Below are 13,117 nucleotides of genomic sequence, written 5' to 3' on the forward strand. Positions count from 1 at the left end.
GGATCTTCTACTCATGGCGGAAGGCAAGGGGGAGCAGGAGCAAGAGAGGAGGGGAGGAGCTACATACTTTTTTGTTATTATTTTATTTCTCTATTTTCTTTGAGACGGAGTCTCCCTCTGTCACCCAGGCTAGAGTGCAGTTGCACGATCTCGGCTCACTGCAACCTCCACCTCCCAGGTTCAAGCGATTCTCCTGCCTCAGCCTCCTGATGGACTGGGATTACAAGCGTGCACCACCACACCCAGCTAATTTTTGGTAGAGACAGGATTTCACCATGTTGGCCAGGCTAGTCTCGAACTCCTGACCTCATGATCTGCCTGCCTTAGCCCCCCAAAGTGCTGGGATTACAGACGTAAGCCACCACGCCTGGCCTTATTTAATTTTTTTGAGACCGAGTCTCACTCCAGCCCAGGCTGGAGTGCAATGGCGCAATCTTGACTCACTGCAACCTTCACCTCCTGGGTTCAAGTGGCTCTCCTGTCTCAGCCTCCCGAGTAGCTGGGATTACAGGCACGCACAAGCACACCCGGCTAATTTTTGTATATTTAGTAGAGACAGGGTTTTACCATGTTGGCCAGGCTGGTCTCCAACTCCTGGCCTCAGGTGATCTGCCCACCCCGGCCTCCCAAAGTGCTGGGATTACAGGCATCAGCCACCATGCCCAGCCGAAGCTACACACTTTTAAACAGCTAGGTGTCGTGAAAACTCACTCATTATTGCAAGAACAGCACCAAAGGGATGGTGCTATACCATTCATGAGAACTTCGCCCCCATGATCCAATGACCTCCCACCAGGCCCCATCTCCAGCACTGGAGATTACAATTCGACATGAGATTTGTGTGGGGACACAGATCTAAACCATATCGACTCCTAATCCAGTGGTCCCCAACCTTTTTGGCACCAGGAACTTGTTTTGTGGAAGACAGTTTTTCCACTGACTAGGAGGCAGGGAGGTTTCAGGATGGTTTAAGCACATTACATTAAACGTGCACTTTATTTCTATTATGATTACATTGTAATAGATAATGAAATAATTATACAACTCACCATCATGTAGAATCAGTGGGAGCCCTGAGCTTGTTTTCCTGCAACTAGACAGCCCCATCTGGGGGTGATGGGAGATAGTGACAGATCATCAGACATTAGATTCTCATAAAGAGCCCACAACCTAGATCCCGTGCATGCGCTGTTCACAATAGGGTTTACGCTCCTATGAGAATCTAATGCTGCCACTGATCTGACAGGAGGCAAAGCTCATGTGGGAGTGTGAGCAATGGGGAGCTGCTGTAAATACAGAAGAAGCTTTGCTCGCTCGACTACCACTCACCTCTTGCTGTGCGACATGGTTCGTAGCAAGCCACAGACTAGTACTGGTTTGTGGTTCAAGGTTTGGGGACCCTTCTTCTAACCTATAAAATTTTAAGACAATAAATTTGTGGGGTTTTGTGCAGCAGTTTGTTACTGCAGTAAGAGAAAATCAGTACATTCCCGTATATATCTGTTGTTCTGTGCAGTCTGTCTCCTGCTCACTCAGGGTCCAAGGTTACAAAATGCTGCTTCTCCAGGTCCGTCCCCACCTTTTCTGCAGGAGGCTGAGTACCTCTCAGATACCTCCTAGATAGATCCAGGTGTCTCAAAGTATGATATGCACACACACACACACACACACACACGCATGCACGAGCACCCCCAGAGTCTGTGCCCCCAATGGTGGCTGCCACCAGCCTCTGCAGTAGGGGCTGCTATCTTGCTGCGGCAGGCCAGGCTGCTGTTATTCCTGCGCCCTGAGGCATGGCCTCCTGCCTGACACGATTTCTGCAGATGCCTTGAGATGCTTTAATTTATTATTATCTTCATTCTCTGGCTGCTGGAGTCCATGGGGCCTTGTAGGGGGACAATCAGAGTGACAGTCACAGTGTCCCACTCAGGACTGCCCCTTGGACCTTCCAACCAAGCAGGAACCTTAACTCTGCCTTAACTTCCTTGGGAGGAAGGACTGTGTCCTGGAGGCTCCATGGTCCTGAGGGGGCCTGCTCTCCACTCCCAACCCAGCCCTCCAGGCAGGCCTGTCTCCTGGGGCCTCTGCTGTAGGCTTTTTCCCATAAACATACACAGTCCCCAGAAAAGTGCTTGAGATAGTGCTTGGCGCTTAGTAAACACTGCATAAGAATGCTTATTGGCCAGATGCCATGCCTATGCCTGTCACCCCAGCACTTTGGAAGGCCAAAGTGGGAGGATTGCCTAAGCCCAGGAATTCAAGACCAGATGGTGCAACACAGTGAGACCATGTCTCTACAAAAAATTAGCCAGGCAGGGTGGCATGTGCCTGTAGTCCCAGCTATTCAGTAGGCTGAGGCGGAAGAACCACCTGAGCCTTAAGGTTTGAGGTTACAGTGAGCAACACTGCACTCCAGTCTGGGTGACAGAGGGAGATACTGTCTCTTTAAAAAAAAGAAAAAGAAAAGGCCGGGCGCCATGGCTCACGCCTGTAATCCTACCACTATGGGAGGCCTAGGCAGGCAGATTGCCTAAGCTCAGGAGTTCGAGACCAGCCTGAGCAACACAGTGAAACCCCATCTCTACTAAAATACAAAAAAAAAAAAAAAAAAAAAAAAAAGGGGCCAGGCGTAGTGCCCGAGCATTTTGGGAGGCCGAGCCAGGTGGATCACCTGAGGTCAGGAGTTTGAGACAAACCTGAACAACATAGTGAAACCTTGTCTCTACTGAAAATGCAAAAATTAGCTGGGCGTGGTGGCACTTGCCTGTAATCCCAGCTACTCAGGAGGCTGAGGCAGAAGAATCACTTGAACCTGGGAGGTGGAGGCTGCAGTGAGCTGAGATCATGCCACTGCACTCCAGCCTGGGTGACAGAGCAAGACTCCATCTCAAAAAAAAAAAAAAAAAAAAAAAAAATTACAGTGGCTCACGCCTGTAATCACAGCACTTTGGGAGGCCAAAGTGGGCGGATCACCTGAGGTCAGGAGTTCGACACCAGCCTTGCTAACATGGTGAAACCCCCGTTTTACTAAAAATACAGAAAATTAGCAGGGCATGGTGGCTTATGCCTATAATCCCAGCTACTCGGGAGGCTGAGGCAGGAGAATCACTTGAACCCAGAAGGTGGAGGTTGCAGTGAGCTGAAATTGTGCCACTGCATTCCAGCTTGGGCAACAAGAGTGAACCTCCATCTCAAAAAAAAAAAAAGTGCTTATTAATAAATCCCGGCCGGACACAGTGGCTCACACCTGTAATCCCAGCACTTTGGGAGCCCAGGGCGAGCAGATCACCAGAGGTCAGGAGTTTGAGACCAACCTGGCCAACATGGTGAAACCCCATCTCTGCTAAAAATACAAAAAATAGTCAGGTGTGGTGGTGGTTTCCTGTAATCCCAGCTACTTGGGAGGCTGAGGCAGGAGAATCACTTGAACCTGGGAGGTGGAGGTTGCAGTGACCCGAGACTGTGCTTCTGCACTCCAGCCTGGGTGACAGAGCAACACTATGTCTCAAAACAAAACAAAAACAAAACAAAACAAAAACCCTTTATATTTTAGTCTAGTATAATTTCTGTAGCACAGGGATTAAGAAAACAAGTCCTGGCCAGGTGGGTGGCTCACACGTGTAATCCCAGCACTGTGGGAGGCCAGGGCGGGCAGGTCACCTGAGGTCAGGAGTTCAAGACCAGCCTGGCCAACATGGTGACATCCCGTGTCTACCAAAAATACAAACATTAGCTGGGCGTGGGGGTAGGAGTCTGTAATCCCAGCTACACAGGAAGCTGAGGTACGAAAATTCCTTGAACCTGGGAAACAGAGGCTGCAGTGAGTTGAGATCACACCACTGCACTCCAGCCTGGGTGACAGAGCGAAACTCTGTCTCCAAAAAAAGAAAAAAAAAGAAAAGAAAAAAGAAATAAATAAACAAAAAGAAATTGACACTTTCGGTCATAAAGCTTGAAACTTACATTTTATTTTACCTGAGTTCCTTCCTCAGGAAAGGATCCCCAGGCCTCTCAAAGTTTATCAAAGAACTGAAACTCACCAGGTCATGGCATCCTGACAATGAGACTCCGGACCCCTCATTCATCATGATTGCTTCCTTACCCCTCCTGAGTTCCTGTATTCCCACACATAGTTGCATTTCTTCCCTGCTGTATAAACCCCTAATTTTAGTAGTCAGGGAGATGGATTTGAGACTGATCTCCCATCTCCTCAGCTGCAGCACCCAATTAAAATCTTCCTTGGCAATAATCACTGTCTCAATGATTGGCTTTCTGTGCGGCCAACAGCTGGAGCTAGGCTGAACTCTACTGCTTTGGTAACACTAAAAGAATGAAATGTGATCATACACACACAGTGGTTCTAAAACATGTCTGCTAATTTCTTTTTTTTGAGACGGAGTCTCTCTCTGTCACCCAGGCTGGAGTGCAGTGGTGTGATCTTGGCTCGCCACAACCTCCACCTCTTGGGGTTGAAGCGATTCTCCTGCCTCAGTCTCCCGACTGGCTGGGATTACAGGCGCCCACCACCAAGCCCAGCTAATTTTTGTATTTTTAGTAGAGACAGGGGTTTCACCATGTTGCTCAGGCTGGTCTCAAACTCCTGACCTTGTGATCCGCCCACCTTGGCCTCCTAAAGTGCTGGGATTACAGGCGTGAGCCATCGCGCCCAGCCCATGTCTGCAAATTCTCTGACACCCCTCATGGAGTGGAGTCTAATTCCTCCTCACCTTGAACATGGTCTGGCTTTCGTGACTCACTTCCTTTTCTTTTGAGACAGTATCTCACTCTGTTTCCCAGGCTGGAGTTCAGTGGTGCAATCACAGCTCACTGCAGCCTCAACCTCCTGGGCTCTGGTGATCCTCCCACCTTAGCCTCCTGAGTAGCTGGGACCATAGGTGCTCACCACCACACCCAGCTGATTTTTATTTTATTTATTTATTTATTTATTTATTTGTTTATTTATTTATTGTTTTTTGAGACAGAGTAATGCTCTTGTTGTCCAGGCTGGAGGGCAATGGCGCGGTCTGAGCTCCCTGCAACCTCTGCCTTTCGGGTTCAAGAAATTCTCCTGTCTCAGGGTCCCAAGTAGCTGGAATAACAGGTGCCTACGACTACTCCCAGCTAATTTTTGTATTTTTTAGTAGAGATGATGTTTCACCATGTTGGCCAGACTGGTCTTGAACTCCTGACCTCAGGCAACCTGCCCACCTCCGCCTTCTAAAGTGCTGGGATTACAGGTGTGAGCCACCACATCCAGCCCTGACTCACTTCTAAGGAGTAGAATGCAGTGGAAGAGACCTGCATGACGGCTGAGGCTGCATCAGAAAAGTTGATGCAGCTCCCACGTGGCTCTCTCTGGGAATATGGGCCGTTGAAGCACAGAGCCAGGCTATAAGAAGCCCAGCTGCCTCCAAGCCACCATGCTGGAGGGATTGCATAAAGAGACCACACGGTTATACTGTGAGATGTCCTCTGTTCCAGCCCTCAGCCATTCGAGTCTTCCCTGCCTAAATACAAGACATGTGACTGATGAAGCTTTTGAAATGACTCCACATGGTGGTGCGCGCCTGTAATCCCAGCTACTCGGGGGGCTAAGGCAGAATTGCTTGAACCCAGGAGGCAGAAGTTGTAGTGAGCCATGATCAAGCCACTGCACTCCAGCCTGGGCAACAGAGCAAGACTCCATCTTGAAAAATAAAAATGAAAATGAAATGACCCCAGCCTCAGCCAGTACTGTAACCATAGGAGGAACCCTAGGCAAGACCTCATCCTATGTAATTCAACACCCTGAATTATCAGAGGTAATAATTCTGACAGTTGTTGTTTAACAATCTGGAATGTCTCCTTACACAGCAAAAGACAACAGATAGACACATATAGTACTTTGCACATAAAAAACATTGAAAACATAGCAGTCCTGGCCAGGCACGGTGGCTCACTTCTGTAATCCCGGCACTTTGGGAGGGCGAGGCGGTGGGATCACCTGAGGTCAGGAGTTCGAGACCAGCCTAGCCACCATGGTGAAGCCCCGTCTCTACTAAAAATAAAAAAATTAGCCAGGTGTAGTGGTGTACACTGGTGTAATCCCAGCTACTCAGGAGGCTGAGGGTAGAGAATTGCTTGAACCTGGGAGATGGAGGTTTCAATAAGCCAAGATTGTGCCACTGCACTCCAGCCTGGGCAACAGACTGAGACTCCATCTCGAAAACAAAAACATAGCAGTCCTAACTGTTATTATTTCAAACCAGTTTTATCTTGACCCACTAGGACCTTATGTATTAATCATAGCAACTATTATTTATTGAACACTTAGTATAAAACAGACATAGCACATATGCGCACACATTGTTATACTGCTCTTTGATTTATTGTGCTTCACAGAAACTGCATTTTTTACAAATTGAAGGTTTGTGGCAACCCTGTGTTGAGTAAGTCTGTCAGTGGCATTTTTCCAACAGCACGTGCTCACATCATACCTCTGTGTCACAGTTCGGTAATTCTTACAATATTTCAAGCTTTTTCATTATTACTATGTCTGCTGTGGTGATCTGTGACCAGTGGTCTTTGATGTTACTACTACAGTTGTTTTGGGCATCATACACTGTGCCCATTTAAGATGGTGAATTTAATCAACCAATGTGCGTGTTCTAACTGCCTCTCTGACCAACTGTGCCTCCGTCTCACACCCTCTTGCCCTCTTGAATCTCCCTATTTTCTGAGACAGAACAATATTGAAATTAGGTCAATACCTAATGGCCTCTGAGTGTTAAAGTGAAAGGAAGGGGCCTACGTATCTCACTTAATGTCAAAAGCTGGAAATGATTAAACATAGTGAGAAAGACATGTAGAAAACTGAGATGAACAAAAGCGAAGCCTCTTGTACCCATTAGCCAAGTCTCTTGAGACCGAGTCTTACTCTGTGGCCCAGGCTAGAGTGCAGTGGCGCGATCTCAGCTCACTGCAACCTCTACTCCTGGGTTACATGATTCTCCTGCCTCAGCCTCTCAAGTAGCTGGGATTACAGGCATGCACTACCACACCTGGCTAATTTTTGTATTTTTAGTAGACATGGGGTTTCACCATGATGGCCAGGCTGCTCTCGAACTCCTGACCTCAGATGATCTGCCTGTCTCAGCCTCCCAAAGTGCTAGGATTACAGGCATGAGCCACTGTGTCTGGCAGGAAAAGTTCTTGAAGGAAATTAAAAGTGCTACTGCAGTGAACACGTGAATGAAAAGAAAGCAAAACAGCTTTATCGCTGATGTAGAGAAAGTTTGAGTGGTCTGGATAGAAGATCAAACCAGCCACAACATTCCCTTAAGCCAAAGCCTAATCCAGAGCAAGGCCCTAACTCTCCTGAATTCTATGAAGGCCAAGAGGGGTGAGGAAGTTGTAGAAGAAAAGTTGGGGCTGGGCGTGGTGGCTCATGCCTGTCATCCCAGCACTTTGGGAGGCCGAGGTGGGTGAATCACCTGATGTCAGGAGTTCGAGACCAGCCTGGCCAACATGGTGAAACCCCGTCTCTACTGAAAATACAAAAATTAGCGAGGCATGGTGGCCCATGCCTGTAGTCTCAGCTACTCAGGAGGCTGAGGCAGGAGAATAGCTTGAACCTGGGAGGCAGAGTTTGCAGTGAGCTGAGATCATGCCACTGCACTCCATCCTGAGCAACAGAGTGAGACTCCATCTAAAAAAAAGAAAAAAAAAAAAGGTCCAGGCCCAGTGGCTCACGCCTGTAATCCCAGCACTTTGGGAGGCCGAGGCAGGCGGATCACCTGAGGTCCAGAGTTCGAGACCAGCCTGACCAACATGGAGAAATCCCGTCTCTACTAAAAATACAAAATTAGCCATGTGTGGTGATGCATGCCTGTAATCCTAGCTACTCCGGAGGCTGAGGCAGGAGAATGGCTTGAACCCGGGAGGCAGAGGTTGCTATGAGCCAAGATCATGCCATTGCACTCCAGCCAGGGCAACAAGAGCGAAACTCTGTCTCAAAAAAAAAAAAAAAAAAAGAAAAAAGAAATATATATATGTATTTTGGCCAGGTGCGGTGGCTCATGCCTGTAATCCTAATACTTTGGGAGGCTGAGATGGGTGGATCACCTGAGGTCAAGAGTTTGAGACCAGCCTGGCCAACATGGTGAAACCCCATCTCTATTAAAAACACAAAAATTAGCCGGGCGTGGTGGCACACGCCTGTAATTCCAGCTACTGGGGAGGCTGAGGCAGGAGAATCACTGGAAACTGGGGGGTAAAGGTTGCAGTGAGCCAAGATTGTGCCACTTCACTCTAGCCTGGGTGAAAGAGCGAAACTCCCTCTCAATAAAAAAGAAATACATTGGCCAGGCACCGTGGTGCACGCCTGTAATCCCAGCACTTTGAGAGGCCGAGGCAGGCGGATCATGAGGTCAGGAGATCAAGACCATCCTGGCTAACACAGTGAAACCCCATCTCTACTAAAAATACAAAAAATTATCCGGGCGTGGTGGTGGGCGCCTGTAGTCCCAGCTACTCAGGAGGCCAAGGCAGGAGAATAGCATGAACCCAGGAGGTGGAGGTTACGGTGAGCCGAGATCGCTCCACTGCACTCCAGCCTGGGCAATAGAGCAAGACTCCGTCTCAAAAAAAAAAAACAAAAAAACATACATTTTGTAAGGCTATGGCTATGAGAGCTAGTGATTCCTCTGATGGATCTGGGTGAAGCCATTGAAAACTGGAAAGGATTCACCATTCTCGATGCCATTAAAAGCATTTGTTATTCATGGGAGAAGATCAAAAGATGAACATGAACAGAATTTTGGAAGAAGTGGATTCCAACCCTCATGGACGATTCCAAGGCGTTCAAGACTTCAGTTGGGGAAGGAACTGCAAGTGTCGCGGAAATAGCAAGAGAACTAGAATTAGAAGTTCAGGCCAGGCATGGTGGCTCACACCTGTAATCCCAGCACTTTGGGAGGCCAAGGAGGGCAGATCACCTGAAGTCAGGAGTTCGAGACCAGCCTGGCCAACATGGCGAAACCCCATCTCTACTAAAAGTACAAAAATTAGCCGGGGGTGGTGGCACGTGCCTGTAATCCCAGCTACTTCAGAGGTTGAGGCAGAAGAATTGCTTGATCCCGGGAGATGGAGGTTGCAGTGAGCCAAGATTGCGCCACTGCACTCCAGCCTGGGCGACAGAGTGAGACTCCATCTCAAAATAAAAAAAAAAAGAAGTTCAGCCCGAAGATGGGAGTGAATTGATTGCCCAATCCCATGAGCAAACTTGAATTAATGAGTAGTTGCTTCTTATGATTGAGCAAATAAAATTGGTTTCTTCCAATGTGATGTATTCCTGGTGAAGATGCTGTAGATATTGTTGAAATAACAGCAAAAGATTTATACTGTATAAAATCCTAGTTGATAGAGTAGCAGCAGGGTTTGAGAAGATTGACTCTAATTTTGAAAAAAGTTCTCCTATGTGTAAAATGCTATCAAACAGCATCACATGCTACAGTGAAGTTGGAAGTCAATTGATGCTGTAATCTTCACTGTTGTCTTTTTTTTTTTCTTTTTTTTAAGACTGAGTCTCGCTGTGTCTCCCAGGCCCGAGTGCAGTGGCACAATATCAGCTCACCACAACCTACGCCTCCTAGGCTCAAATGATTCTCCTGCCTCAGCCTCCCCAGTAACTGGGATTACAGGCGTGTGCCACCACGCCCGGCCAATTTTTTGTATTTTTAGTAGAGACAGGGTTTCACCGTGTTGGTCCGGATGGTCTCGAACTCCCGACCTCATGTGATTCACCCTCCTCCGCCTCCCAAAGTGCTGGGACCACGGGCGTGAGCCACTGCGCCCGGCCACACTGTTGTCTTATTTTAAGAAATTGCTGGCCAGGCGTGGTGGCTCACGCCTGTAATCCCAACACTTTGGGAGGCCAAGACGGGTGGATCATGAGGTCAGGAGATCGAGACCATCCTGGCTAACACGGTGAAACCCCGTCTCTACTAAAAATACAAAAAAATGAGCCGGGCGTGGTGGCGGGCGCCTGTAGTCCCAGCTACTCAGAAGGCTGAGGCAGGAGAATGGCGTGAAGCCGGGAGGTGGAGCTTACAGTGAGCCAAGATCGTGCCACTGCACTCCAGCCTGGGCGACAGAGGGAGACTCCGTCTCAAAAAAAAAAAAAATTGCTGGCTGGGCGTGGTGGCTTATGCCTGTGGTCCCAGCACTTTGGGAGGCCAAGGCAGGAGGATTACCTGAGGTCAGGAGTTCAAGACCAGCCTGGCAAACATAGTGAAACCCCATCTCTACTAAAAATACAAAAAATTAGCCAACCATAGTGGTGCACACTTGTAATCCCAGCTACTCGGGAGGCTGAGGCAGGAGAATCGCTTGAACCAAGGAGGCAGAGGTTGCAGTGAGCTGAGATCGCGTCACTGCACTCCAGCTTGGGCAACAAGAGCAAAACTCCATCTCAAAAAAAAAAAGAAATTGCCACAGCCATCTCAGCCTTCAGGAACCACCACCCTGATCAGTCAGCAGCCACCAACATCAAGGCAAGACCCTCCACTAACAAAAATGTAATGACTTACTGAAAACTCAGATGATCATTAACATTTTTAAGCAATATTTTTAAAGTTAAGGTAGGTACTTTTTTGTTTGTTTTGTTTTTTGTTTTTTTTGAGACGGAGTCTCACTCTGTTGCCCAGGCTGGAGTGCAGTGGCGCGATCTCGGCTCACTGCAACCTCGGCCTCCCAGGTTCGTGCCATTCTCCTGCCTCAGCCTCCTGAGTAGCTGGGACTATAGGCGCCTGCCACCACGCCTGGCTAATTTTTTTGTATTTTTAGTAGAGACTGGGTTTCACTGTGTTAGGATGGTCTCCATCTCCTGACCTTGTGATCCGCCCGCCTCAGCCTCCCAAAGTGCTGGGATTACAGGCATGAGCCACCACGCCCGGCCTACAATAGCATTTCTATTTTTTATTTTCTTTCTTTCTTTTCTTTTTTAATAGAGACAGAGTCTCACTTATTGTCCGGGCTGGTCTCAAACTCCTGGCCTCAAGTGATCCTCCTGCCTCAGCTTCTCAAAGTGTTGGGATTACAGGCGTGAGCCACTGCCACCTGGCCATCATTTCTATACAATAACAATCATTTATTAAAATATTATGAGGCCGGGCGCTGTGGCTCACGCCTGTAATCCCAGCACTTTGGGAGGCCGAGGTGGGCGGATCACGAGGTCAGGAGATCGAGACCATCCTGGCTAACATGGTGAAACCCCATCTCTACTAAAAATACAAAAAATTAGCAGGGCGAGGTGGCAGACGCCTGTAGTCCTAGCTACTCGGGAGGCTGAGGCAGGAGAATGGCGTGAACCCCGGGGGGTGGAGCCTGCAGTGAGCTGAGACCGCGCCACTGCACTCCAGCCTGGGCGACAGCGAGACTCTGTCTCAAAAAAAAAAAAAAAATATATATATATATATATATACACATATATGTATATATTATGAAAATAAGTCTAGGCGTGATGGCTCATGCTTGTAATCCCAGCACTTTGGGAGGCTGAGGCTTGTGGATCACTTGAGTCCCATAGTTCAAGACCAGCCTGGCCAACATGGTGAAACCCCGTTTCTACTAAAAATACAAAAATTGGCTAACCATGGTGGTGCACACCTGTAATCCCAGCTACTCAGGAGGGTGAGGCAGGGGAATCACTTGAACCTGGTAGGCAGAGGTTGCAGTGAGCTGAGATTGCACCACTGTGCTCCAGCCTGGGTGACAGAGTGAGACCCCATCTCAAAAAATAAAAGAAAACACAGATGAAATAAAGATATTTCCAGACATACAAAGGCTGAGAGGATTCATCACCAACAGAACTGCACTACATAAAATATTAAATAAGCTTTTCAGACAGGAGGAAAATGATAACAAATGAAAATCTGGATTGACAGGAATAAAGAGCATAGGAAATGGAAAGTACATAGGTTAATATATAAGATTTTTATTACTATTTAAATCTCTATAAGTATAATTCACTATTTAAACAAACAGCAATAAACTAGAAAGAGAAGGAGACTTCCTCAACCTGATTATGGGCAACTGTGGAAACCCCAATGCAGAGGATTAAACTGTGTCCCCAGAAAAATACGTTCAAGTCCTAACTTCCAGTACCTGTAAATCTGGTCTCATTTGGAAATAGGGTTTTTTCAGATGTAATCAAGTTAAAACAAGATCATTCTGGATTAGCATGGACCCTAAATCTAAGGACTGATACATTTATAAGAGAAAGGAGAGGGAGTGTTAGTCCATTCTCACACTGCTATAAAGAACTACCTGAAGGCTGGATGCGGTGGCTCACACCTGTAATCCCAGCACTTTGGGAGCCCGGGGTGGGTGGATCACAAGGTCAGGAGTTCAAGACCAGACTGGCCAACATGGTGAAACCCCGTCTCTACTAAAACTATAAAAATTAGCTAGGCGCGGTGGCAGGCACCTGTAATCCCAGCTGCTCGGGAGGCTGAGGCAAGAGAATCGCTTGAACCCTGGGAGCATAGGTTGCAGTGAGCCAAGATCACGCCACTGCACTCCAGCCTGGGCGACAGAGTGAGGCTCCGTCTCAAAAAAAAAAAGAATTACGTGAGACTGGGTCATTTACAAAGAAAAGACATTTAATTGACAGCTCCACAAGCTATATGGGAGTCATGGCTGGGGCGGCCTCAGGAAACTTACAATCTTGGTGGAAGCGTGAAGGGGAAGCAAGCATGTATTCACATGGCAGCAAGAGAGAGAGCAAGTGAAGGGGGGAAGTGCTACACACTTTTAAAAAACCAGATCTGGCCGGGTGCGGTGGCTCACGCCTGTAATCCCAGCACTTTGGGAGACTAAGGCGGGCGGATCAAGAGGTCAGGAAATCGAGACCATCCTGGCTAACACAGTGAAACTCTGTCTCTACTAAAAATGTAAAAAATTAGCCGGGCGTGGTGGCAGGTGCCTCCCACCTACTTGGGACTCCCAAGTAGTCCCAGCTACTTGGGAGGCTGAGGCAGGAGAATGGCGTGAACCCGGGAGGCGGAGCTTGCAGTGAGCCAAGATAGCGCCACTGCACTCCAGCCTGGGCAACACAGTGAGACTCTGTCTCAAAAAA

General features: G+C 48.0%; 2 annotated features.

Annotated features, from left to right (window-relative positions):
- Positions 2,845 to 3,023: a silencer, noted in NCBI's record as "fragment chr7:65516808-65516986 (GRCh37/hg19 assembly coordinates)". NCBI's record gives its function as "represses an EF-1alpha promoter that drives an FKBP-Casp9 reporter gene in an ReSE screen in K562 erythroleukemia cells {active_cell/tissue: K562}" and the evidence as "EXISTENCE:reporter gene assay evidence [ECO:0000049][PMID:32094911]".
- Positions 6,565 to 6,654: an enhancer, noted in NCBI's record as "active region_26079". NCBI's record gives its function as "activates an Ori minimal core promoter by ATAC-STARR-seq in GM12878 lymphoblastoid cells {active_cell/tissue: GM12878}" and the evidence as "EXISTENCE:reporter gene assay evidence [ECO:0000049][PMID:35858748]".

Source organism: Homo sapiens, chromosome 7 (assembly GCF_000001405.40).
Source record: "Homo sapiens chromosome 7, GRCh38.p14 Primary Assembly".
Taxonomy (NCBI): domain Eukaryota; kingdom Metazoa; phylum Chordata; class Mammalia; order Primates; family Hominidae; genus Homo; species Homo sapiens.